The sequence below is a fragment of the Homo sapiens genome, chromosome 8 (genome assembly GCF_000001405.40).
Source record: "Homo sapiens chromosome 8, GRCh38.p14 Primary Assembly".
Classification (NCBI taxonomy): domain Eukaryota; kingdom Metazoa; phylum Chordata; class Mammalia; order Primates; family Hominidae; genus Homo; species Homo sapiens.
The window spans coordinates 119,830,024-119,855,961 of NC_000008.11; the positions used below are offsets into that span (position 1 = coordinate 119,830,024).

The window sequence follows — 25,938 nt, forward strand, 5'->3', positions numbered from 1 at the left end:
GAGTAGCTGGGACCACAGGCACCCACCACCACAGCCGGCTAATTTTTTGTATTTTTAGTAGAGACAGGGTTTCACCGTGTTAGCCAGGATGGTTTCGATCTCCTGACCTCATGATCCACCCGCCTCAGCCTCCCAAAGTGCTGGGACTACAGGTGTGAGCCACCGTGCCTGGCCCTGAACCTCCATTCTTTTAGCTGCCTCAATCATGCCTTAATTCTAATATTAGGATTAAAATATTATCTATCTCACAGGGTAATTATGAAGATTAAGTGAGTTAATACACATAAACCTTAGAAGATATCTTACATATATTAATGGCTAAATATATGTTCACTAATTCAATCATGTCAACTCTATTTCAATTCCATTTTCACTAATGCTATCTTCATTTAGGACTTCACCATTTCTCCCCTAGATTACCGCAGTAACCTCTGAACTAGACTCCCTAATTCCCTTATCTTTCCTACCCAATTCATACAACATAATACAACTCAAGTATCCTACTATATAAGATATAAGGTACATAACCTAGGGAAGACTGCATGAGAAATTCCATAAACGAGGAGACTAAATTTAATAAATCTTTTAGGAACATTACAAATCTAAGATTCTATGACTCATGAAAAGCGACATTTTTCTATCTATTCAGCTTATCCTAAGTAAATATATACATACATGGGTAACAAATCTGACAGAGAAGTTGATACCATCACTCAAGGAAAACCAGCTCTCATTAACATTTTAGCCTATGTAATAAAGGTAGCCCTAAGAAAGTAAATTAAATAAATACTTGAGTTTTCAGCCAGGTGCAGTGGTTCATGCCTGTAATCCCAGCATTTTGGGAGGCAGAGGCAGGTGAATCACTTGAGGTCAGGAGTTCGAGACCAGCCTGGCCAACATGGAGAAAACTCTGACTCCATTAAAAATACACAAATAAGCTGGGCGTGGTCATGCACACCTGTAATTCAAGCTACTTGGGAGGCTGAGGTAGGACAACTGCTTGAACCCAGGAGGTGGAGGTTGCAGTGAGCCAAGATCACAGCACTGCACTCCAGCCTCAGTGACAGAGCGAGACTCTGTCTCCAAAAACAAACAAACAAACAAAAAACTTGAATGTTCAAGCTTTTTCCTAAAATTGATTATATCAGCAATCCATACATCTAAATTGTGTCGGGAGGCAGGGGGAGGTAGAGGGTTTCTAGATCTCAAATACTCTATCTAAAACTTCATTACAAAGCAACATCACCTAAACCAAGTCAGTCAAGAAGCAAAAATGGCCTCTTAGAAGCCAAGTCAGTGAGTGTATTAATCTTAATTTTTTTCATAGAAGAAATGTCGCTATGGGCTTATACTTGTTTCATGCACAATTATAAAATGCTTGGCTATACAGGCTTTCATATTATACACCAGATAAAGAGGAATAAAATTTTAATTAGGAAATTGAAAAAAAAGGAAAGGGAGAATTTGGGAGGCAATAGGTATTAATAGAAGGACCATGGAACTTGTAATCATACAGACCCTAATTTTAATTCTTACCTATTCTTGAAACACAATTATCTGGAAGACTACAAACTTTCTAAGTACTGTGAGGGGTGGATTGTTACTCTTTATAGTGGACTTGTTACTATTTATAATTGTTGAGAATAAACTTACCACAACAGATTTTCTCTGGAAATTTATGTTGTTGATGCAGACGACCTGATGGGTTGTATATTAATAAATATAAAAAGAAAATAAGGAAAAAATAATTTTTATTATTAAATCAAAGTATAATTCTATCCAAGTATAAATTAGGACTATGTTCTAAGTAATTCAAAATTACATGTCAATATTTCATTTTAAAACTACGAATTGGGGCCTGGTGCGGTGGCTCACGCCTGTAATCCCAGCACTTTGGGAGGCCACGGCAAGCGGATCACGAGGTCAAGAGTTCGAGACCAGCCTGGCCAACAGAGTGAAACCGAGTCTCTACTAAAAATACAAAAGTTAGCCGGGCATCGTGGCACACGCCTGTAATCCCGGCTACTCAGGAGGCTGAGCCAGGAGAAAAGCTTGAACCCGGCAGGTGGAGGCTGCAGTGAGCCGAGATCGCGCCGTTGCACTCCAGCCTGGGCGACTGAGAGACTCCGTCTTAAAAATTAAAAAATTAAAAAAAAAAAAACACTCTACCAATTGGGATAATTTTTTAAAATCTAGCAACAGTCACGAAAACAGATTTGACAGAAATACAATCTAGTACTTAGACAAAAACTTTAGTAACTTGCAACGGGAATTAAATTTGCTGAATAACCTGTCATTCAAAACATTTTTACCTTACAAACACCATTTCCATCACAGTGAGTAAATTCTAGTTTCCCACTAGGTTTCCCAGGCCCACCAAGTCAATTTCAAGCAATCGCAAAATATAATTAATGGCAACAAAACCAAAAGGAAGGAAGGGAAATGAAAAAATACTTATAATTTATATGGCCTTGGGCTTTCAAAGCCCTTGTCTCCTTTCTTCCTGTTCATTCTGGCGGGCTCTACACCAGTCAGCGGCATGAAGCGGTCCCGCGGAGCTTGGCTTCCCGGCTTCCTAGGGGGATACGGGGCATTACTAGTCTTTGGCACCTCACACTCTCCACTCCCCTGCGGTCCCCAAGTCACGTCTCGCAGCTGGCCGGTGCCCAGGTGAGCGACCTGACGGGTCGCTGCCCGCCTCAACCTCGCTCCTTCGACTAGCTCCTAGAAGCCGCCGTCGACAAGCTTCTGTCACAGAGATGCTCCTCTCCGCAAGGGCTCGAAGCTACCATCCGCCGACATCTTGTCTGTAACCTCTGACCTCCGACGTCAGCGGAAGTGGAACGGCGGCGGGGGTAGAACCAGGAAGTCTTGTCAATGGGCAGGGCTTGCGATCTTCGCATGTGTCTTATCGTAAAGAATTGTTAAAATTTAGGATAGGGAAAAAACTATTTAATGGATGAAGCGAGAACAGCAGGAAGAAAAGGAGGGAAGGTAGTTTTCTAGTACAAGCATATTGAGAAGAATGGAGGACAAAGTTTGCGAAGAGCCAGGTATAAATAGGCTGGGGCAGGGTGCTAGTAACTGGGCGGGGTGGGGTGGTGGGAAGTCTCCCGAAATCAGGAGGTGCGTGCCTCTGGCTTGCTGTGTGAACAGACACACTGGGTCCGGTGATTTAAGCTGTAAAATATGTGATTAGACTGCAGGTAGTCTAAATGTCAAAACTGCAGCACTCCACAGCTCTCACTAGGCACTGCTGCCTTAGTATTTATTTTAAAATATAGATTACAAGGCCGGGCGCAGTGGCTCACTCCTGTAATCCCAACACTTTGGGAGGCCGAGGCGGGCCGATCATTTGAGGTCAGGAGTTCGAGACCAGCCTGACCAACATGGTGAAACCCCGTCTCTACTAAAAATTACACAAAATTAGCTGGGCGTGGTGGTGCACGCCTGTAATCCCAGCTACTTGGGAGGCTGGGGCAGGAGAATTGCTTGAACCTGGGAGACGGAAGTTGCAGCGAGCTGAGATCGTTCCACTGCACTCCAGCCTGGGCGACAGAGCTGAGACTGTCTCAGAAAAAAAAAAAAAGAATAAAATATAGACTACAGGCCAGGCGTGGTGGCTCACGCCTGTAATCCTAGCACTTAGGGAAACTGAGGCAGTCATATCACTTGAGGTCAGCAGTTCAAGACCAGCCTGGCCAACATGGTGAAAGCCCGTCTCTAGTAAAAATACAAAAATTAGCCCTGCGTCGTGGCGTGCGCCTGTATTCCCAGCCACTCGGGAGGGTGAGGCACCAGAATCACCTGAACTCGGGAAGCCGAGTTTGCAGTGAGCTGAGATCATGCCATTGCACTCCAGTCTGGGAGACAAAGCGAGACTCCCTCTCAAAATAAATAAATAGACTACATAGAGATATATAGACTGTGTATATATATCATATAATCCATATAAATGCAGAAACATTTATTGAAAGACATTTCGAAGCCATCGTGTTTGTATTTCATGTTCATGACAATAAAACTTGTAAACTTCAGTAACAGTTAAACCTTCTTTAATTATGGATTAGCCATTAACATTTTTGAAACGTGGACCATTTAACCTCGGCCTACCCCCTCCAACTGTCCTGGTGATGAGTTCATTAGCTAAGTTAAAATTAATTTGAACTTTGATCTAAACCAAAACAAATCAGGAAAATAAAGCTGTAAAGGAACTTTATCAAGCATTCCAAAACCAACTAGAAATTACTTGAAGTTTTCGAGTGAGCATTGCCTGTGCCAGTATTCTTCATTATAGGATTATAAACTCGTTTTTTTCCCAAAGCGCATGTCTACGCCAGGCAGAGGAGTAATTATTCAGCCAATTTCATGGATGTAAACGATGGATATAAATAATTGATAGCACCTAGAGGCTTCCAGTTTGGGTGGAAGGCTAAAAGTAGAGGGGAACTCACTCACTTGAGAAATGATATTTAAGTGAATAAATAGTTCTCTTCTATGAAACTATTACTATTTAGTTCTCTGGAAAACTTAAGTGTATTAATGATTAGAACATCAAATCCTAAGTAAAGAAATGACATTTTAAATATAAAAAGCCAAACTTTAAATAAATCATAGAGACCTCAGACATAATATAGGAAAGAATTCTTTTGTCCTTGTTTACACTGTGTACATAGTACAAATATAATTTTAAAGCTACATCCTATAACATTTAAGAAATAACAGTAGTTTCAAAATGCTTAAGATGAGGAGAAAAATGCCTTAGAAGACTAGGTTTCTAAAAGTCAGAAATAAAAGTACAAGTTATTTTTCTTCTATCCAGCAACTTTATAAAGCAACTTGAGTCCTGAAGAAAAGACCGTTGTTCTTTTAAGAAATGGGTCTTCTCGAATTATAAACTTTAACACCATTTTGCATCGAAGAATGAGAATATTTAGTGAGTAATGCACCTATGGTTTGCTTCTCTCCACACAAATCTCTGTAGGAACAATAAAAAATATATAACATGAATATTTTAGGGAACATATTATGATACAGTACTATGTACTTATTTTCTCTCTCTCCCCCTGAATCTGTCTTCTCAACAAGCGTAAGTGTAGGTGTTTGTGGGAGAGATAGGGTGGGGAGTGGTTCTAAGTTTTAATTAAATTAAGTACATTATATGTATTGTCTCATTTAACCCACACAATAAAAGTAGGAGTAGGCCAGGCGGGTGGCTCACGCCTGTAATCCCAGCACTTTGGGAGGCCGAGGTGGGCAGATCACAAGGTCAGGAGTTGAAGATCAGCCTGGCCAACGTAGTGAAACCCTGTCTCTATTAAAAATAGAAAAAAATTAGCCGGGTGTGGTGGTGGGCACCTGTTATCCCAGCTACTTGGGAGGCTGGGGCAGGAGAATTGCTTGAACCCGGGAGGCAGAGGTTGCAGTGAGCGGAGATCGCGCCACTGCACTCCAGCCTGAGTGACAGTGTGAGACTCTGTCTCAAAAAAACAAACAAAAAAAAAAGCAAAAAACAAAAACTAGAAATAATGTATTATTTAACCCTATATTAGATATGAGAACTATGGCTCAGACAAGTAATAAATGAGAGTCAAATCCTGCCACCAGGTTTGTACAACTTCAAAGTCTATGCTATTTCTATTATATGACACAGCCTCTAAATTAGAAATACAAGCAGTGTAATACAGTGAGGCCTACACAGCAGGGCCTAGAGTCAGAGAACCTGGATACAAGGTACCTGTGTGAACTTGTCTAGGTTACCAATGCTTCCTGAACTTTGGTTTCCTCTTCTGTACCTCAAAGAGAAGAAGATTACGACCGGAACATAATAAGGAGAGGGAGGAATAGGAGGACGTGAGCTAGAGAAGGGGCAACAGCTAGATCACGTAGAACCTTGAAGGACAGGGAAAAAGAATTGTGACTTAATTCTACATATAATGGGAAGCAACTAGGAGTGTTTTAATTAATGGAAAAGTACAATGTGATCTAAGTTTTAAATAATGGAGGTGGCCGGGCGCGGCGGCTCATGCCTGTAATCCCAGCACTTTAGGAGGCCAAGGTGGGCAGATCACTTGAGGTCAGGAGTTTGAGACCAGCCTGGCCAACATGGTGAAACCCTGTCTCTACTAAAAACACAAGAATTAGCTGGGCATGGTGGTGCACACCAGTAGTCCCAGCTACTTGGGAGGCTAAGGCAGGAGAATCCCTTAAACTCGGGAGGCAAATGTTGCAGTGAGCCGATATCACACCACTGCACTCCAACCTGGGCAACAGAGTGAGACTCTGTCTCAAATAAATAAAGGAGCCAATGAGTTGACGATTATGGAAGATGAGCAGTGGATATATGGAGGTCTCATTATATTGTCATTTTTGAATATTTAAACAGTATAAGAAGGAGAAAGGAGAAGGGGGCAAAAATAGAACAGGGAGACCAATTCAGAGGCAGGTACAAGATGATCCATCAGGGTTTGCTCATAGTTTGAACCAGAAGGTAGGGGAAAGAAAGGACAGGGATGATTCCTAGACTTTAGTTTAAGTAACTGGATTAGTAGTGGTGCTGTTAACTGTGTTAAGGATGAGGGAGAAGCAACAGTTCTGTTATGAACATGTTAAGCTTGAAATTCCTATTGGATATCCAACTGGAAAGGTAAATTAAGCAACTAGATATAGGAATCTGGACCTCAGGGAAAAGGGCAAGTATGAAGATGGAATTAGGAAGTCATTAAATTTGTTTCCAGGCCTAGATGAGGGCACCAAAGGAAAAGTATAAACAGAAGAGAAGATGGCCCAAAAATAGACCTGGAGCACTCCAACATTTAGAGATTGAGAAGAAGAACAGGGAGACATCAACAAAAGAGATGGTTTTCTCCCCTCTCATCCAAGGAAGAGGGGAGAAACTTGTGTTTCAAGTAGGAGGAAGCAGACACTGTCAAATAGTGCTAAGTCAAGTAATCAAGGACAAATAATTAACCATTGAGTATAGAAAGATGGATGTCATTGGATTAAGAAGATGTCATTGGGTAAAGGAAAGAATGGGAGGTGAAAAGCATAGAGTGAGTATAGGAAACTTGTAAAAGGCATTTTCTTATGAAGGAGAGCAAAGGACATAGGGTCCAGTAGGTTGCTATTGTTGTCTTGCAAGATGGGCAATATTACAGAATTTTGTATGCTGATGGGGATGATCCAGAAGAGGGAGACATTAATAACTCAAGGGATGAAAGGGATAACTCAAGGATCCAAGTCTTTAAGAAGGCAGAGGAGATAGACCTAGTGCAGAAGGATTGGCCTTAGGAGCAGGGACAATTCATACACTACACAGGACTGCAAAGGAAGTAGGTGTACACATGAGGAGGTTGGCCAATTTGGCAGTGGGAAAGAAGGTTGTTCTGGCCTCACTGCTTCTATGTTCTGAAAAAAATAAGATCATAAAAGGAAAGAGAGGGTACTGCTGGTATGAAAAAGGAAAAGAAGATGTAGAAGAAGCTCCAAGGGTAGAGAAGTTTCATGAGCAAATCATGCCTGGTGAGGGGCCGTTGTAAGTACCACTAGGTTCTTAAGCAAGACTGGCAGCTTCATTGTGTATTCTCCAAAAAGTTTCAGCTGGCCACGTGTAGGCACAGGGTAAGCAGAAAGTTGAGTCTAATCTTTTTAGCTTTTTGCCAGGGAGATATGGCAAGAGGGAGAGAGGGCCACAGGAGTAAAGTGTAGACAGTAAGAGCTAAGAAGGCCAGCCACAGGATTCGAGCTGGGTAAAGAGAAGAAAGAGCACCTGAGAGGTGTGATGCAGTGACAAAGTTGTAGTGTTAGTGGATTTCAAGCGTTAGGGGACTCAAGATTTTGTAAGAAGTGACTTTGGGGCTAACGTGTTCTACTGCAATCTGGCCTCTCCCAAAATGTTAAATAAAGTAAGGCATGAGGTGGCAATCAGAGATGGGTGTTTGCCTTAGAGTCATAGTAGGGCCTGTATTTTGTCCCTCAAAGGGGACAGTTTTCCAGGAATGAGAGCAGAGAAGTGGTTTTAGAAGCAATAGTGAGGAACAGAGATAACACATATTCCACCTCCAGAAGCAGTAATTATGGAGGACAGAGAAGACAGCCACCACCTAAGAGTTTCTAGGGAAGCAGTATCCTCAGGGAATACTCAAGAAAATTGTGTTCCAATCATAAATCTAAAATGCTGTGCCATTGACTATAAAAAGAACGACCCTCAAAATCCGTCTTTAATAAATTACTTACTGAATATATGGAGCAATATCTTCTTCTGTCCACTTCTCCCTTAGAGAGAAAAGGCTATTAAAACGTTCCTGATTATCCTCAGGTAAATCATCTACTTTCAGCAAAAATATGATTTCTGGTCTCGAGTGTCTATCCACCAGCGCTAAACCCTACAAGAAATGAGAAGAAACAGAGCAGTTAAAGTAATGTTGTAATGTTTAAACATGACTCATTCTTTTACCTTTAGGTTTAGCTTAGCTCAAGATATTCAAAATGTCAGCTACATGAAACTTAAACTATCCAGAGATTTACAATCGCCTTTTTCATACAAAGAGCTCCTTTAAGCAGTGACTTCTTTCCTCCTCTGCAATCTGGCTTCTACCATCAGCAGTCTATCAAGACAGCTTTGGTTCTAAAGGTCACCAGTAACCTGTCATTGCCAAATCCAGTGGGCCCTTTTCTTGGATTCATCGTGTTAGCCCTCTATTTTCTATTTTGTTTTTTTTTCCTTTTTGAGACAGAGTCTTGCTCTGTCACCCAGGCTGGAGTGCAGTGGCACAGTCTTGGCTCACTGCAACCTCTGCCTCCTGGGTTCAAGAGAGTCTCCTGACTCCGCCTCCTGAGTAGCTGTGACTACAGGTGCACACCACCACATCCAGCTAATTTTTATATTTTTAGTAGAGAAGGGGTTTCACCATGTAGGTTAGGCTGGTCTTGAACTCCTGGCCTCAAGTGATCCACCCACCTCAACTTCCCAAAGTGCTGAGATTACAGGTGTGAGCCACTGTGCCCAGTCCCTAGCCGTCTATTTTCGTTACTGTTGATTACTCCTCCTCCTTTAAATATCTCTCCATCCCTGACATCAGTCTTTTTATTTTCCTCGTAACTTGATGTTGTAGCTCCCTGAGGCTTCCATCCCAACCACTCCACTTGCTTCACTGTCACTCTACTGAGTAACCTCATCTAAACCTGTAGCCTGAGCCACCACTTACTTGCTAATGACTATAATACTTATATCTTCAGCTGAGATGTCTCTCTTGAGTCCCAGACCTCTATATCCAAATCTATACATGAACTCATTTATCATCCAAACCTGCTCTAGTTCCACTATCCTAGGAAAACAGGAAACTGAGGCATCAGCTTTGATTCCATTAGTCAAACCCCACACCTATGTGGTCACTAAAGTCTATATAATAGGTGTTAAGGCTTCAGGATTCCTCTGTCCATTCCCCCATTACCTATCTCTTTAGCCAGTACTCTCTTAGTTGGGAGCATATGTGTTGACAGCCTGCACAGTAATCCTTTTTCATAATCTAACCAACCTTCCGTCTGTCCATCTTGTTTATTGTCATAGTATTCTTTTCAAAAGGCCAAACTGATGAGTTCCTGATGAGGTAACCTCTCTAACTGATGTCACTCAGTGGCCTCAAAGAGCTTTCTAGAAAGAGTTGAAAGTCCTTAGCGCAGTCCACAGTGTCCTTACCTCACAAGCATCCTTTACTCCAGCCCATGCATCCCTACAACAGTGCCTTAATTTTTATTTGCCCCCCACCTTTGACCGTGCTCTCCTAGATTTCCACCTCTGGCTTTCCCTCCATCTAGAGAGCAACAGTTCATCTTTCCATACTCAGCAGCTAAAACGTCTATTCCGTCAGAAAGTCATCCGTGATTGACCAGTCTGATGGCTAAGCCCCTTTTCTTTGTTCTCATAACATCGTGTGCATGCCTTTCCCATGGCGTAGATCACTCTGCATTGTAAGAACAGATTTATGCATGTAATATGTCTCCCCCATTGCCAGTTCCCAGGCTAAGCACCATAATGACACCTGGTATGACATTTCTCCTGAGCACCTAGCATGGTGCCTCAACATAAAAAGAACTCCATAAATACCAAGCAAATCTTTTCATTTAACTAACAAAATATTTACCAAGTATACGCCACATGCCAGGTAGTATGCTACATACTAGCAAGCAACAGCAAACAAAATGCCATCAAAGTAGAGAGTGGTGAACCACATAAACATTTTTCCAAGCTAAGGGGAGAGTGCCATGAAGGAAAGAATAGCGTGCTATCAAAGAGTAAAACCAGAGGTCTTTGCTTCAAGCAGAGAATGAAGGAAGGCCTCCTTGAAGTGACTCAAAGATGAGCAGGAGGTGACCAGATGAAATTAGAGAGAATATCATTCTAGAACAAAAAGCTTTGTGTGAAGGTCCTAAGGTAGGTGAGAGCTTGATGATGTTGAAAACCTGAAAGAGGGTTGGTATGCAGTGAGCAGAAGGGAAGTAGCCAGAGATGAAGCTATGAAGGTGATCCTGAAGGGCCTTATAGGCCAAGACATGAATTCTGAGTTTTTTATCCTGAGTGCAGTAGGTGACCATTAAACTGATTTAAGGCCGGGTGCAGTGGCTCACATCTATAATCTCAGCACTTTGGGAGGCCAAGGTGGGCAGATCACCTGAGGTCAGGAGTTCGAGACCAGCCTGGCCAACATGGCGAAACCCCGTCTCTACTAAGCATACAAAAATTAGCTGGGTGTGGTGGTGGGTGCCAGTAATCCTAGCTACTCGGGAGCCTGAGGCAGGAGAATCCCTTGAACCCAGGAGGCGGGGGTTGCAGTGAGCCGAGATTGAGCCACTGCACTCCAGCCTGGGTGACAGAATGAGACTCAGTCTCAAAAATAAATAAATAAATAAATAAAATGATTTAAGCAGGACATTCATCTGATCTGACTAGCATTTATTTATTTATTTATTATTATTATTATTATTTTTGAGACAGAGTCTTGCTCTGTCGCCCAGGCTGGACTGCACTGGCATGAACTCGGCTCCCTGCAACCTCCGCCTCCCAGGTTCAAGCAATTCTCCTGCCTCAGTCTCCCGAGTAACTAGGATTACAGGTGCCTGCCACCACACATGGCTAATTTTTGTATGTTTAGTAGAGATGGGCTTTGGCCATGTTGGCCAGGCTGGTCTTGAACTCCTGACCTCAGGTGATCTGCCTGCCTTGGTCTCTCAAAGTGCTGGGATTACAGGCGTGAGCTACCGCACTTGGTCTGACTGGCATTTTCAAAAGATCATTCTAGTAGCGTCACAGAGAATGGATTGGAAGGGAGCAAAATTAAAAGTGCAAGGGGCATGCCCAGGGATGCTATTGCTGTTTAGAGGCAGAAAATCAAGGTAGTTTGGACTAGGAGAGGGGTGATGGAAATGGTGAGAAACGGAACAAAATGAGATACACTGAGTAGGAAGAGGGATTAACAGAAAATGGACCCAAGCGATCTTGTAGAGGTGATAGATATGTTCTAAAACTGTATTGTAGTGAGAGCAACTTATTTTAAAATTATTAAAAATATTTTAAAGGTATATTTTATAATATGTAAATTATACCCCAATACTTTATTGGGTTTTAAGGACTATGTGATGGATTGGATGTACATGCACTCCTAATGGGTGTCTAAGAAAAGAAATTGGTTCCAAATTCAGCTCCAACTCAAGTATCATTCACCTAGTAATTAATCAACTGTTGAAGTAAGGTGGCAATGTCTATTGCTATTACCTTAAGCTGATCAAGACTAGTTACCATTCCTTCAGGAACACTCTGCTGCCACACTTCTTGAAACTCAGCGAGATTGAATTTCACCGCATTCTGAAGTAGCATTCGTGCTGCTGCTCTACATATTTTATCAGCATCCAACTCAAAATAAACTTCGCCTAAGGAAAAGTTATCAGATATTTTCATATTATCATCTTACAATTAAATATTATACTAACATTTCCTTTTCTTTGCTGCAGTTTCTTGAAAGGAATTATACACCTAAACTCACTTCCGACAACCCCATAGTTCGTTTTTTTTTGAGACAGAGTCTCGCTCTGTCACCCAGGCTGGCGTGCATTGGCGTGATCTTGGCTCATTGCAGCCTCCACCTCTTGGGTTCAAGTGATTCTCCTGTCCCAGCCTCCCAGGAAGCTGGGATTACAGGTGTGTGCCATCACGCCTGGCTAATTTTTTTATTTTTAGTAGAGATGGGGTTTCACCATGTTGGCCAGGCTTGTCTCAAACTCCTGACACCTCAGGTGATCCGCACACCTTGGCCTCCCAAAGTGCTGGGGTTACAGGCGTGAACCACTGCACTGGCCTTTTTTTTTTTTTTTTTCTTTCTGAGAGAGAGGGTCTCACTCTGTTGCCTAGGCCAGAGAGCAGTGGCACAATGAAGGTTCATTGCCGCCTCGACCTCCCCGGGCTCAGGTGATCCTCCCACCTCGGATTCCTGAGTAGCTGGGACTACAGGCATGCACTGCCACACCCAGCTAATTTTTGGATTTTTTTTTGTGGAGACAGCATTTTATCATGTTGCCCAAGCTGGTCTTGAAATCCTGGGTTCAAGCGACCCACCCACTGCAGCCTTCCAAAGTGCTGGGATTATAGGTGTGAGCCACTGCACCCAGCCAGAGTTCTTATTTTTAACACCGACAGGCTTTAGAAAGGTATGCCAGTTTTAACATATAAGAGTTAAATGAGAATACTTTCCAAATCTTACCTTCATCTACATATTTCTTCCCATAACATTTAAGACAGTGTTCTATCATTTCCCTGAAAAATTTAAAACACCCACTTGAAAAGTTATAAGCATTTTTATGCACTATATTTTAACCCCATTGCCAACTCAAAATTAAGAAAGAAATTTGAGATTTCAAATACTAAGTGATTTTGGTTGCCAAATATTATTTTATTTAAATTAGGAACTAAGTAAAATATACTGGGAAGCTACTATGTGCCAGGCCCCATGCTAAACATTTTAACATCAATTATGTAAGCATAAATTTATTATTATAAAATAGCTCAAACATATTATTTCCTTTATTTATTGTTTGTTTTATTTTATTTTTTTTTTTTTTTTGAGAGTGCAGTAGCGCAATCTCAGCTCACTGCAACCTCCACTTCCGGAGTTCAAGCAATTCTCCTGCCTCGGGCTCCCTAGCAGCTGGGACTACAGGCACACGGCACCACGCCCAGCTAATTTTTGTACTTTTTAGTAGAGACGGGGTTTCACCGTGTTGGCCAGGACAGTCTTGATCTCCTGACCTCATGATCCACCTGCCTCGGCCTCCCAAAGTGCTGGGATTACAGGCATGAGCCACTGCGCCCAGCCTATTTCTTTATATTTTTATGGCCAAAAACAAACAAGATAATGCACATGTATTCACCCCAGTGACCAAAATTCCCAAATCTTCTTCGGTTGTAATTGTAAACATTTCTCAAAGATATCAAAATACAATGATTGTAGTTTATGCCCTGGGTTTAATTCCAATCTGTAAAACAACTCCCTTCCCCTTAAGGAAATCTGGATAGACAAGAAATTAAAATACTTACTCTGGCTCCAATGGTCCGAGTTCCTGAAGGCATGTGTTCAAAGGAACTTTACCAAAAGACCATGATTCAGAATCCACAAGCTGAGTTACATGATTCAGAAGTTTCATCTCATAATCAAATTCAAGAATCCTCCAATAACCTACAAATTTCAAAAGTTATATTTACCAAAGAACTTTTTTTTTTTTAAGGCAGGGTCTCAACTCTGTCACCCAAGCTGGAGTTCAGTGGCGTGATCTCAGCTCATCGCAACCTCCACCTCCTGGTTTCAAGCAATTCTGCCATCTCAGTCTCCTGAGCAGCTGGGACTACGGGCACGCACTACCATGCCTGGCTAATTTTTGTATTTTTAGTAGAAACAGGGTTCCACCATGTTGGCCAGGCTGGTCCTGACCTTCTGACCTCACATCGTCAGCCCGCCTCAGCCTCCCAAAGTGCTGGGATTACAGGCATGAGCCACCGTGCCGGCCCAAAGAACATTTTATGTAAACTAGCTAATAGATTGACAAAGTCACAGCATACTTTTGCTCACTGCAAAAAAGAGACACTAGGCTGGGCGTGCTGGCTCACTCCTGTAATCCCAACACTTTGGGAGGCCGAGGCTGGTGGATCACTTTAGGCCAGGAGTTCGAGACCAGCCTGGCCAACATAGTGAAACCCCATCTCGACTAAAAATACAAAAAATTAGCTGGGCGTGGTGGTGCACATCTGTAATCCCAGCTGCTCAGGAGGCTGAGGCATGAGAATTGCTTGAACCTGGGAGGCCGAGGTTGTAGTGAGCCAAGATTACACCACTGCATTCCAACTTGGGCAATGGTGAGACTGTCTCCAAAAAAAAAAAAAAAAAAGTCTTCACTTTCTATAAACAGTGCTTCTTTTTAAGCTTTTCTCCCAATCATTTTAAACTGTGTCTTCAGGGAGATCAAGTTGTTTTTCAAGAGTACTTTACATATGACTAGCTTTTCTCAAGTGCTTTCTTTTTTTTTTTTTCTTAGAGATGGGGTCTTACTCTTGCCCAAGCTGGTCTTAAACTCCTGTGCTCAAATGATCCTCCTGCCTCAGCCTCCAGAGTAGCTGGGATATTAAAGGCACATACCATGGCACCCCCTCTCTCCAGTGCTTTGACATTCAGTTATCTCACAATAATCTTGTCATTCCAAACAGAAATTAGGAAATCTGCAGTTGGTACAGTCATTTCATTAGAATGTCATACAAATGAGGTGAAGGTCACAGGTTCAATATTCATGATAATCTCTGCTGTGCTGCACTACCATAGTTATAACTCTCATCAGAGCTATCTTGCAGAGGCATTTCTATACTCATGAAGAAGTCCAGCTCACCAAAGAGATGATAGACTCTGAGGTACAATGTGGATGAGGGCCAAGTTAAGGGCTGGGCTTCATAAAGATCCCTTTCCTATTCCTGTGAGAGATTATGACATGCCATTTTATTTATTTATTTATTTATTTATTTATTTATTTATTTATTTATTTATTTGTGATGGAGTCTCACTCTGTTGCCCAGGCTGGAGGCGTAGTGGCACGATCTCAGCTCACTGCAACCTCCACCTCCCGGGTTCAAATGATTCTCCTGCCTTAGCCTCCTGAGTAGCTGGGACTATAGGCATGCGCCAACATGCCCGGCCAAGTTTTTTGTATTTTTACTAGACAGGGTTTCACCATGTTGGCCAGGCTGGTCTCGAACTCCCGACCTCAGGTGGTCCACTTGCCTTGGCCTGCAAAGGGCTGGGACTACAGGCATGAGCCACTATGCCTGGCCATGAAATGCCATTTTATAATTGATGGCACGACCACCACCCCAGAGAAAGAAAAGTATACATCCACCATTTCTAAAGGAGAATGTTTCTATTCTTACTCTGAAAACATAAAGACAACATTTAAAAAATGGATTGTGTGATGTAAAACTGAGGAAGAAAGCAAGAAGTAATCTACGCATCCCCCTAGAGAAATTGTATCCATCCCCATGCTGCAAGTTAATAATGCAGAGGGCTGCATTAAAATGCATGGTTTCATTTGCCTTTAAAAAAAAAAAAAGCTTTAGGGCTGGGCACCGTGGCTCACACCTGTAATCTCAGCACTTTGGGAGGCCAAGGCAGGAGGATCACCTGAGCTGAGAGGTTCAAGACCAGCCTGGCCAACATGGCAAAACCCCATCTCTACCAAAAACACAAAAATTAGCTGGACGTGGTGGCGCATGACTGTAACCCCAGCTACTCAGGAGGTTGAGGCAGGAGAATCACTTGAACCCACGAGACGGAGGCTGCAGTGAGCCGAGATCACGCCACTGTACTCCAGCCTGGGTGACAGAGTGAGACTCCATCCAAAAGAAAAAAAATTAATTTTGCTAGGAGTTCAAGGACCTGGGTTCTATGCCATATGCTGTCACTAACTCCACATGTACCCTGGACAAGTTAGTTGCCCTTCCTAGGCCCTAGTTTCCTCACCAGTTATAAAAAATAAAAGATTAGACTATTTGATGTCTAAGGACTTTTTTTTTTTTTTTTTTTTGACGGAGTTTTGCTCTTTCGCCCAGGCTGGAGGGCAGTGACGCGATCTCCGCTCACTGCAACCTCCGCCTTCCAGTTTCAAGGGATTCTCCTGCCTCAGCCTCCTGAGTAGCTGGGATTACAGGCACCCACCACCACGCCTGGTTGATTTTTGTATTTTTAGTAGAGACAGGATTTCACCATGTTGGCCAGGCTGGTCTCAAACTCCTGACGTCGTGATCGGCCAGCCTCGGCCTCCCAAAGTGCTGGCATTACAGGCATGAGCCACCATGCCCAGCTTGGACCTTTCTTAATCTAACATGGTTCTTCCTTTACCACCTAATTCAAAAAAATTGGAAGGAGTCAAAGTGTGATTAAAGTCACTGGTAGCAGATTGACCTCATGTAAAGATGAAATCTCTATCCTACAACAAGAAAGACAAATATCACCATCTTTTCTTTCTTTAGACAAGAGTTTCGCTCTGATGCCCAAGCTAAAGAATAGTGGTGCCATCTCAGCTCTCTGCAACCTCTGCCTCCCAGGTTCAAGCAACTCTCGTACCTCAGCCTCCCTCCCTAGTAGGTGGAATTACAGGCATGCACCACCACACCCAGCTAATTTTGTATTTTTAGTAGACAGGGTTTCGCCACATTGGCAAGGCTGCTCTCAAACTCCTGGCCTCAAGTATCTGCCCGCCTCAGCTTCCCAAAGTGCTGGGATTACAGGCGTAAGCCACTGCGCCCGGCCCAAATGACACCATCCTTAAACCCAAAAGAATATTAAATAAACTATACGCAGTAGGGTGAAGATGTCCAAAAACTTCTCTCCCTTATGATGCCCAATTTCATCATTGTTAAAATAGTAGTAAGTAACGCTACCTCCAATCTTACAGGCATTTAGAACTTGTAATTGGGTCATTATTTCTTCCTCACTTGCCTGAATTTGATCAAGCAAATCTTCAGTTGTATACTGCAAAAAGAAAAAAATATTTTAAGGCCTTTGAAGAATATTTTGTTTTTAGATTTCTTGCTGAATATTGAGGAATAAATACATAGAACAGATTAAGGCAATATTTATGCACTAGCTCAGTTTCTTTTGTTAACATGTAATGATTTCTACACAAAATCAATGGATGTCTTAGAAAACAAATAGAGGTAAATCTTCATGACACTGGGTTTGGGTGATGGCTTATTAAATATGACACCAAAAACCCAAACAACAAAAGAAAAAGTAGATCAATTGGACATCATCAAAATAATAAACTTTTGCACTTCAAAACACTATCACCACAAAAGGACAAATACTGTATGATTCCACTTATCTGAGGTATTAAGAGCAGTCAAATTCAGAGAGACAGAAAGTAGAATGGTGGCTGCCAGGGGCTGAGGGGACAGGGGAAATGGGAGTGATTGTTGAACAAGTACAGAGTTTCAGTTTGAGAAGATGGAGAAGTTCTAGAGATGGATAGTGCTAATGACTGCACACCACTATGAATGTACTTGATGCTACTGAACTGTATACTTTAAAATGGTAAATTTTATTTTTTCTTCTTTTTCTTTTTTTTTTTTTTTGAGACGGAGTTTCGCTCTTGTTGCCCAGGCTAGAGTGCAATGGTGCGATCTTGGCTCACCACAACCTCTGCCTCCCAGGTTCAAACGATTCTCCTGCCTCAACCTCCTGAATAGCTGGGATTACAGGCATGCGCCACCACACCTGGCAAATTTTGAATTTTCAGTTGAGGCACGGTTTCTCCGTGTAGGTCAGGCTGGTCTCGAACTCCCGACCTCAGGTGATCTGCCCGCCTTGGTCCCCCAAAGTGCTTGGATTACAGGCGTGAGCCACCCCGCCTGGCCTCTTTTTGTTTTTGTTTTTGTTTTTTTTAAATACAGAGTCTCACTCTGCCATCAGGCTGGACTGCAGTGGTGTGATCACGGCTCACTTACAGCCCTGACCTCCTGGACTCAAGCGATTTTCTCACCTCATCCTGGGACTACAGGTGTGCAGCCAGCCCCAGCTAATTTTTAAATATTTTGTAGAGACAGATTCTTGCTATGTTGCCCAGACTGGTCTCAAACTCCTGGACTGAAGCAATCCTCCTACCCTGCCCTCCTAAATTGCTGGGATTACAGGTGTGAACCATTGCCCCCAACCCCAAAAATGTTAAATTTTATGTTATGTATATTTTACTCCAATTGAAAAAAGCAAGAAAGTCGAAAGACAACCCACAAAATGGGAGAAAATATTTGCAAATAATATATCTGATAAAGGACTTGTATCTGGACTATCTAAAGAATTCGCTTACAACTCAGTAATAAAAAGATAAATAATTAAAAATCAGGCAAAGAAACCGAATGGGCATTTCTCCAAAGATATACAAATCGTCAATAAGCCCATGAAAAGATGTTCAACATCAATGGAAAATAGTGCAGCCACTCTGGAAACAGTACGGCAGCTTGAAAGCTTCTACAGAGTCACCACATGACCCATCAATTCTGCTCCTAGGTACATACCCAAGAAAAATGAAAACATAGATCCACATTAAAATCTTGTATACGAATGTTCGCAGAAGCATTATTCTTAATATCCAAAAAGTAGAAGTTACCCAAATGTCTATTAGCTGACAAATGAATGCATAAAATATGAGTATGTCCATAAAATGAGATACTATTCAGCAACAAAAAGGAATAAAACACTGCAGCCGGGCATGGTGGCTCATGCCTGTAATCCCACCACTTTGGGAGGCTGAGGTGGGCAGATCACCAGAGGTCAGGAGTTCAAGACTAGCCTGGCCGGCCGGGCGCGGTGGCTCAAGCCTGTAATCCTAGCACTTTGGGAGGCCGAGGCGGGTGGATCACGAGGTCAGGAGATCGAGACCATCCTGGCTAACACGGTGAAACCCCGTCTCTACTAAAAATACTAAAAAATTAGCTGGGCGCGGTGGCGGGCGCCTGTAGTCCCAGCTATTCGGGAGGCTGAGGCAGGAGAATGGCGTGAACCCGGGAGGCGGAGCTTGCAGTGAGCCGAGATCGCGCCACTGCACTCCAGCCTGGGCGACAGAGCGAGACTCCCTCTCAAAAAAAAAAAAAAAAAAAAAAGACTAGCCTGGCCAACATGGTGAAACCCCATGTCTACTGAAAGTACAAAATTAGCTGGGCATGGTGGCATGCACCTGTAATCCCAGCTATTCGGGAGGCTGAGGCAGGAGAATCACTTGAACCCAGGAGGCAGAGGTTGCAGTGAGCCAAGACTGCGCCACTGCACTCCAGCCTGGGCAAGAAGAGCAAAACTCCGTCTGCAAACAAAACAAAACAAAACACTGATACATGCTACAACATAAATGAACCTTGAAATGATCACGCTAAGTGAAAGAAGCTAGTCAGAAAAGGCCACATATTATATGATTCCATTTATATGAAATGTCCAGAATAGGCAAATCTATATAGACAGAAAGTTTATTAGTGGTAGCCTAGGGGAAAGGGGAGAGAAGAAAGTGGTACTGGAAGGTGACAGCTAAAGGCTACAGGGTTTCTTTCTGGGGTTATAAAAATGTTCTAAACTTGATGGTGGTAATGGTTGCACAACTCTGAGAATGTACAAAAAATTATTCAATTGCATACTTTAAAACTGGTGAATTGTGTGGTATGTGAATTATATCTCAATAAAGCTGTTACCAAAAAAATTTTTAGAAAGAGTCCATTGGGAAAAAAGGGAACTTCTAGTACAAACATGGTCTTCATATACCAGTAGAGTTCTGTAATTTTTAAATTAAAAATTTTAAAACTGTTTTTTACTTTGTTTATGTTTTTCCATACTTTCAGGAATTAGTTAATTTTGACACTGGAGTAAGAATAGCTTCCATTATGTCCCCTCTCAAGAGCATCTAGTCATAATTTTAATTAAATAAATTTTTTACCTCTAAAAAAACTATTATTTCAAAGTTAAGAATATGAGAAGCTCTTAGCTATATAAATGGCATTATGATATATAGGATCTGCTTTAAAATACTCTAGAAAAATTAAAAAGATGGAAGGATAGAAAGGGGATAGAAGAAAGAAGACTGACAAGACATTAATTGTTCAAGTGAATGACAAATATATGGGGGTCATTATACTATGTGTGCTTTGGGGTGTGCTTGAAATTTTATAACTTTTTTAACACAAGCATTTATAACAGCTATATAACATAAATTTTAAAAAGTAAGAATGTGACTATTAAGTGCCTCTGATTATAGTTGTTAAATTCCAAATAAAAAAGTGAAAATAAGTCTTACTTTTGAGCTATTTGAATCCTTCTCTTTTTGACTGTCAGGTCCTTCATATGGATTTTCCATCAAAAGTTTCTTTAGCTTCTTTAACTTGGGTCTACGTCTTCTTAATTCCCAATAATTATTAGAAAAACCAAAGATCTAGAAATTATATATATCGTAACCTTTTAGGGGCCATTCTAAAGGAAAATTTCATACAAAATTACAACTAATCAATCTGCCCCCTCAACAAGTACAAAGGAAGCTCCAAGGTATTCTGCTTTGTATCAGGAAGGTATTTATCCAGCCATCTCAACTAGATGGATGGGCATCCTCAAGAACATCTTTTCAAATCCCCTTAATAAGATACTGTCAACATTGTAAGAATCAATAATTGAATGTCACATCTCAAATGTACTCTGAAAACTAGAGTATGCCCAGAAAAAATGACAGGATGGTGACAATTCTCCAAACCAAGTGGAAACAACTAAAAATGAATATACTTAGGCAAAAAACAAACAAACAAACAAAAAAACAAAACAGAGAAAAGGTATTATAGTCTTCAAATAGGGACATTAAAGGGAAGAGGGGGTGTGTTGCTCACGTTGAAATGAGGCAGAAGTTAAGGGACAGAGATTTCTGTTTAATACAAGATCTTTCTAATGTTTAGAACTGCAGCTAATTCCACTGTTCGATTTGTGAAATAGTGAGAGGCCTACCACTCAAAATCCAGTTGATAAGAGGCTAGAGAATGGATGAATATCTGTTATCCTTGCCTGCACTTACAGGACTTGCCTAGTTCCTAGCTCTGAGTAGGTGCCCAACAAGTGTTTCATAAAAGAAAAAAGGCTCAACTGGATTATCTTTGGGATGCCCTCCAACTCTGAAATGGAAGGACAGGGGATGCTTCTACTTTCAAGCTAGGATAAGGCTTGATTGACAAGATGAGGCCTAGAGCCTGAAGGAGATGTTGCTGAATCTAAGGCTTCCCAAAGAAGAGCTTAAGGACCAAATCTGACAGACTGATTTTATCCATAGTTAAAAGTGGTTTGCTGTTTTATTGTCATCTCAGGAAAAACAAAGCAAAACAAAAAAATGGCAGCCTTCTGGCTACGTCCAATACACAGATATTGTGGTATGCTTTTGTGTGCTGGGGGAGGTTTGGCATAGTGTTTCAATTAGATGCCAACATTTAAAAAATTAGGAGATTTCACCCCAAAAATCTAAATTTCAAGAATTACTTGGAAAAAATAAATCAAAAATCTAGCAGCGCTGGGCCTACTTTCCCACAAGGCAGCTGAGTAGTGGCCGTCCACCTACTTGGGGACTGTGCTTTCCAATTTGCTGTAGACCCAACCACTCCGTTACTCCTGGGTATCTACCACCATTTATCAACCCCAGCCTATTTCTCATCTAACCCCTTTAAGCATCTGAGGTTCAATCACGGATTATGGCTTTGGTTAGTGGATCTTGAAGTTTTAGCCAATCTCAGTACATAGAATTTCCATAACAAGCAAGAGCTCAAAGATTCTCATAGACATTATTATGCCCTCACAAAAACACCTACAGAACAGATAAGTGATGAAAAAATAACACTTTTTTACAATAGGATGAACTGCCAATATTTTTAGTTAATTACAATGAAAGACTTAAAACCTACAAAAACCAACCTAGTATATTTACTGGATGTTCCTCTATTCTAGTAACATCATATGAATCACTGGAGCTTCCCAGCATTTTCCCTTCTTTCCTCTCCAATTCTGTATTTAAGGATATAGTTGGCCTAAAGTCATTCCCAAAGAAATAAGGGCTATGCTTGGATTGTTATATATGTAAGAACTTAGTTACTGTTTTATATATGTAACAACTTAGACAGTTGTTTGGTTACTGCCATCAATATTCTCCAAAATAATTAAAAGTTTGTTATACTTGGCTACAGATATTAATGAACTAAACCAACTTCAAAGCTAAGAAACACACTTCCTTCAAAAACTCAAATTTCTTCATTTCTTTTTTGGAGACAGAGTCTTGCTCTGTCACCCAGGCTGGAGTGCAGTGGCGTGATCTCGGCTCTCTGAAACCTCTGCCTCCTGGATTCAAGCAATTCTCCTGCCTCAGCCTCCCAAGTAGCTGGGATTACAGGTGCACGCCACCACGCTTGGCTAATTTTTTTGCATTTTAGTAGAGACAGGGTTTTACCGTGTTGCCCAGGCTAGTCTCAAACTCCTGAGGTCCGACAATCGGCACACCTTGGCCTCCCAAAGTGCTAGGATTACAGGCGTGAGCCACCACACCTGGCCCAAATTTCTTCATTTCTCCACCTCATAAATATTACCAAATGAACCAGTTACGGTCTGAGGGAGTCTCCTTTCAAAACACATCCACAGCAAAATCTACTAAAAATGGGTAGAATTTTTAGAATGACTCATTGAATAACAAACTTTGCACATTATAGAAAAAAGATCAAATTGGGACTTGAAAATCAAAACAGGAAAAAACAGACAAGTTCACAAGACTCCAACAAACAAGCAATAATAATAATAATAATGCTGAGAAATTCAAATTTCTTTAAAGAACTTCTTAGATTCTCCCTGATTATAGATTTTACACGTAAACTTTTTAACTAAAGATCAAATTACCATATCTGTTTTCATTCTCAGACTTTTATAAATCAGAGTACAGAAAAGAGCACCTCAGTGTGAATAATGTTACAGTGTGAATCTTCCTTCTTCAACTGGTCCGGAGTTTTACAACCAGGAATGAAAAGCAACATATTGGAAGTGTCTGCTATCTTCAAGTCGTATGTTTTGTCTTTACTGCACAGCACAGCTTGCTCGTCTTTATCACCACGAATCACAAGACTGTAGCAAAATGGGGGAAAAATATATAGTTTATTGACAATCCAGTAGCCATTTTCATCATAAACAGTTCTCAAACCCTCTAGGCTTGCAGAACTTAGAATTAAGTTTTGATGCTGCCTCTGCCCCCTGCTAGCACAATGCTGGATTCCACACAGCAAGCATTGGGCCAACTGAGAGCCACACAGACGCCCCACCCAGAGCCTCATTAAGGAAAAATAATTAAAGATGGGCAAGACAGATCCATAGAGGCCAAGAGGCCAAATGGCACTACATGGCATCTTGTGCAAACTGCTGGAAAGAACACAAGACAAAGCATCCTGAAGCTTCAGTCAAGCTGTCTCAATTTTCTACAACATGCTAAAGTGGTACTTCTCAAATTTATGCATAGGCATCTTAGAGAGTGTTGTTCAAAAGCAGAGTGGGATACACTGGGTCTAGGATGGGACCCAGGGTCCCGTATTTCTAACAAGTTCCCGAAGAAAGGCCAAGGCCAAGCTGCTGCTCATGGTACCCCACCCAAGTGTCGTCCTTGTTTTGTTCTGAGTACCCCCTCACAATCAAAGGAGCACATCCTGGCCTAACCATAAGTTGTGTTGCAAAAAAATTGGGACCTTATGAAAAAAAGGATGCAGTGGTGAATGAAAAATATGAAAAGGATATGTTTAAAAACTGTACTAAACCAAAGACTTTGACAAAGGGATTTTGAAGAAAAGCAAGAACGCAGTGGCTCATGCCTGTAATCCTAGCACTTTAGGAGGCTGAGGCCAGAAGATCGCTCGAGAGCAGGAGTTTGAGACCAGCCTGAGAAACATAGCAAGACCCCATCACTACAAAAGAAAAATTTAAAAGTTAGCTGGGTGTGATGATGCACACCTTAAGTCTCAGCTACTCAGGAGGCTGGTGGGAGGATCGCCTGACCCCAAGTAGTCATGGCACCATCATGCAGAGAGCCGTGATTGTGCCACTGCACTCCAGCCTGGCTGACAGAGTGAGACCCTGTTCCCACCACTCTCTCCCCAAAAAAAAGATAAAGAAAAAAGAAGGAAGAGGAAAGGATGAAGGTGAAGCGGAGGAAAAGGAAGGATTAAAGACAAAGATGATGGCAATGACAGGGGAGTTGGTTCTAGCAGTTTTCCTTGTCTGTAAAGCATTTAATTCTCCTGTGCACAACTCGTTTCTTTTGAATAAATAATAAGAAACCTGAAATAGCAGACTGTGTATTTATTTTTGACTAAGTCTTCATTTAAGTAAAAAGAATAAAAGGTTTTTTAGATTCCTAATGCTAATAATGCTTAATAGGCCCAAGTACCTAGTCTTTAACATTTATTTCTCTAACTGCACTACCCCCACTTTGAAATATTTTGTTTATACCATCACTCCCTACACCCCAAAATTAAAAACACACGTTTCCAGGGCCTGTTTTTATTTTTTTGTTTTTGTTTTGTTTTGTTTTTGCCAGCTAGATTAACTAGAACTGGACCGAGAGAAAGTCCTCACACCTGAGTTCCTTTCTCAACTCTCCACCAACTGAACCGGGATGGAAACAGACTAGTGAAGTTCTTTCAGTTCCCTTAAAGGTACTTTGAGGTATATAGCAGGTATCTGAAGAATGGCCAGTTTACTCTAACACTCTTTGGTGGGCAAAGTACGAAAACTGAAAGACAGCCTAAAGGATTCCATTAAGAAAAAAGAGAAAAAATAGCCTAATAAAATATAGGTGTCGGAGGACCAATTGTGCAAAAGAGAATCAAGCTGGAGCTCCCTATTTTGCAGGAGCTGGGGCTGCACAGGGTGGAGGGATATAACGATTCTCTAGACTTCTCAAGACTGCCTTTAAAAAACTACCTCAACTTCGACTTCTAATCAATGATCTTGCAGCAAGTTTGTATCTGACCTGGAATTAGAAACAGCTTCAGATCCCTACTAAGCAAGTTTGCTTCGGGGTGGGTAGGGGTCTCACCCAATTACCAAGTCTGTAAGCTGATTCCCAGCACTTCCTATCTATCATCTGAGTAAAATAAATATAAGTGGAAGGCAAGAGTTCTATAAACATTGGGTATCACCACTGTATTTTAAGGTAGAGTGACAGGTGTCCTGTAGAGTCCCTGTAATCACCGGTAACTCTTCAAAAACTTCACGGAGGTTGTATTAGTATTTCCTGACTTGCTCCCGCTGACACATGCCTCCAAGGTCAGCTGGACCAGTGCTACTCATCACCGCAGTGCAGCTAACTGGACGGCCCACCGGAGGCGTGGACTCCTCGGGAACAGGCAGCTTGCTATGAGCCCCCGGCCAGGTCAGTGCATCTCTCTGGCCCTGTTTTCTTATCCCGACTTTCCCCGCTGAGAAAATAACGTGGCCGGCCAGAGGCTGGGGGCGCCGCGTGACCAGGGCTCACCTGTGTCCATCCTCCAGCTGCTGGCACAGCGTGGGCTCCAGCTCCAGCAGGCAGAAGTCGCCGGCTGCAGCGCCGCTGGCCCCAGGGCCGAAGCCCAGGCAGTGCACCGCCGGCAGCAGCTCGGCCGCATTCAGCTTGGCGATCTGCAGCGTCGCATCCACCTCGTCGCGGGTCCTCTTCATCGCAGCGCCGGGTCTAGGAGTCCCGCCGCGCCCGGGTGGCTGCGGGCTTGGCGGGCAAGAAAGAAGTTCCCAAGCAGCCGGAAGGTAGGAAACCTGAGCGTTTGAAAGCGCGCCAAGGCGGCCATGGGCGTGTTTCCGGGGCGGAGCGCGCTGCGGGCCCGCCCGC

The 25,938-nt window shown here is 42.2% G+C and overlaps 2 protein-coding genes and 1 long non-coding RNA gene across 10 annotated transcripts in view, besides 3 other annotated features; 1 reads left to right on the top strand and 2 right to left on the bottom strand.

Annotated features, from left to right (window-relative positions):
- Nucleotides 1-2,818, bottom strand: part of TAF2 (TATA-box binding protein associated factor 2) — a 102,068-nt gene extending 99,250 nt beyond the window's left edge. For all 4 annotated transcript variants that reach the window (NM_001437339.1, NM_001438084.1, NM_003184.4 and 1 more), the window contains exons 1-2: nt 2,459-2,818; nt 1,654-1,708 (exon numbers count right to left, since the gene is read on the bottom strand). In NM_001437339.1, the coding sequence (NP_001424268.1) occupies nt 1,654-1,708; nt 2,459-2,541 (138 nt within the window). In that variant the 5' untranslated portion in view covers nt 2,542-2,818. The remainder of the gene's footprint in view (nt 1-1,653; nt 1,709-2,458) is intronic.
- Nucleotides 2,470-2,519: an enhancer, noted in NCBI's record as "active region_27842". NCBI's record gives its function as "activates an Ori minimal core promoter by ATAC-STARR-seq in GM12878 lymphoblastoid cells {active_cell/tissue: GM12878}" and the evidence as "EXISTENCE:reporter gene assay evidence [ECO:0000049][PMID:35858748]".
- Nucleotides 2,580-2,939: an enhancer, noted in NCBI's record as "active region_27843". NCBI's record gives its function as "activates an Ori minimal core promoter by ATAC-STARR-seq in GM12878 lymphoblastoid cells {active_cell/tissue: GM12878}" and the evidence as "EXISTENCE:reporter gene assay evidence [ECO:0000049][PMID:35858748]".
- Nucleotides 2,856-25,938, top strand: part of LOC105375728 (uncharacterized) — a 36,035-nt gene continuing 12,952 nt past the window's right edge. The window contains exons 1-3 of one of the 4 annotated variants that reach the window (XR_928590.3): nt 2,856-3,053; nt 24,652-24,779; nt 25,383-25,856. This is a non-coding gene — a long non-coding RNA (uncharacterized LOC105375728). Of the gene's footprint in view, nt 3,054-22,991; nt 24,399-24,651; nt 25,857-25,938 lie in introns of those variants that run through there. The other 3 variants (XR_007061079.1, XR_007061078.1, XR_001745684.2) reach the window with 3 other exon arrangements.
- DSCC1 (DNA replication and sister chromatid cohesion 1) lies at nt 3,953-25,871 on the bottom strand. 2 transcript variants are annotated; one of them, NM_024094.3, is made up of 9 exons: nt 25,591-25,871; nt 23,024-23,192; nt 20,359-20,493; nt 16,967-17,057; nt 13,586-13,724; nt 12,753-12,805; nt 11,771-11,925; nt 8,236-8,384; nt 3,953-4,978 (listed from the first exon to the last, which is right to left on the bottom strand). In NM_024094.3, exons 1-9 carry the CDS (start codon nt 25,770-25,772, stop codon nt 4,870-4,872), a joined length of 1,182 nt encoding a protein of 393 aa, NP_076999.2. In that variant the 5' UTR covers nt 25,773-25,871; the 3' UTR covers nt 3,953-4,869. The 2 variants fall into 2 exon arrangements, with proteins under 2 accessions (NP_076999.2, XP_005251122.1); XM_005251065.5 differs by lacking the exon at nt 20,359-20,493.
- Nucleotides 25,543-25,852: an enhancer, noted in NCBI's record as "active region_27844". NCBI's record gives its function as "activates an Ori minimal core promoter by ATAC-STARR-seq in GM12878 lymphoblastoid cells {active_cell/tissue: GM12878}" and the evidence as "EXISTENCE:reporter gene assay evidence [ECO:0000049][PMID:35858748]".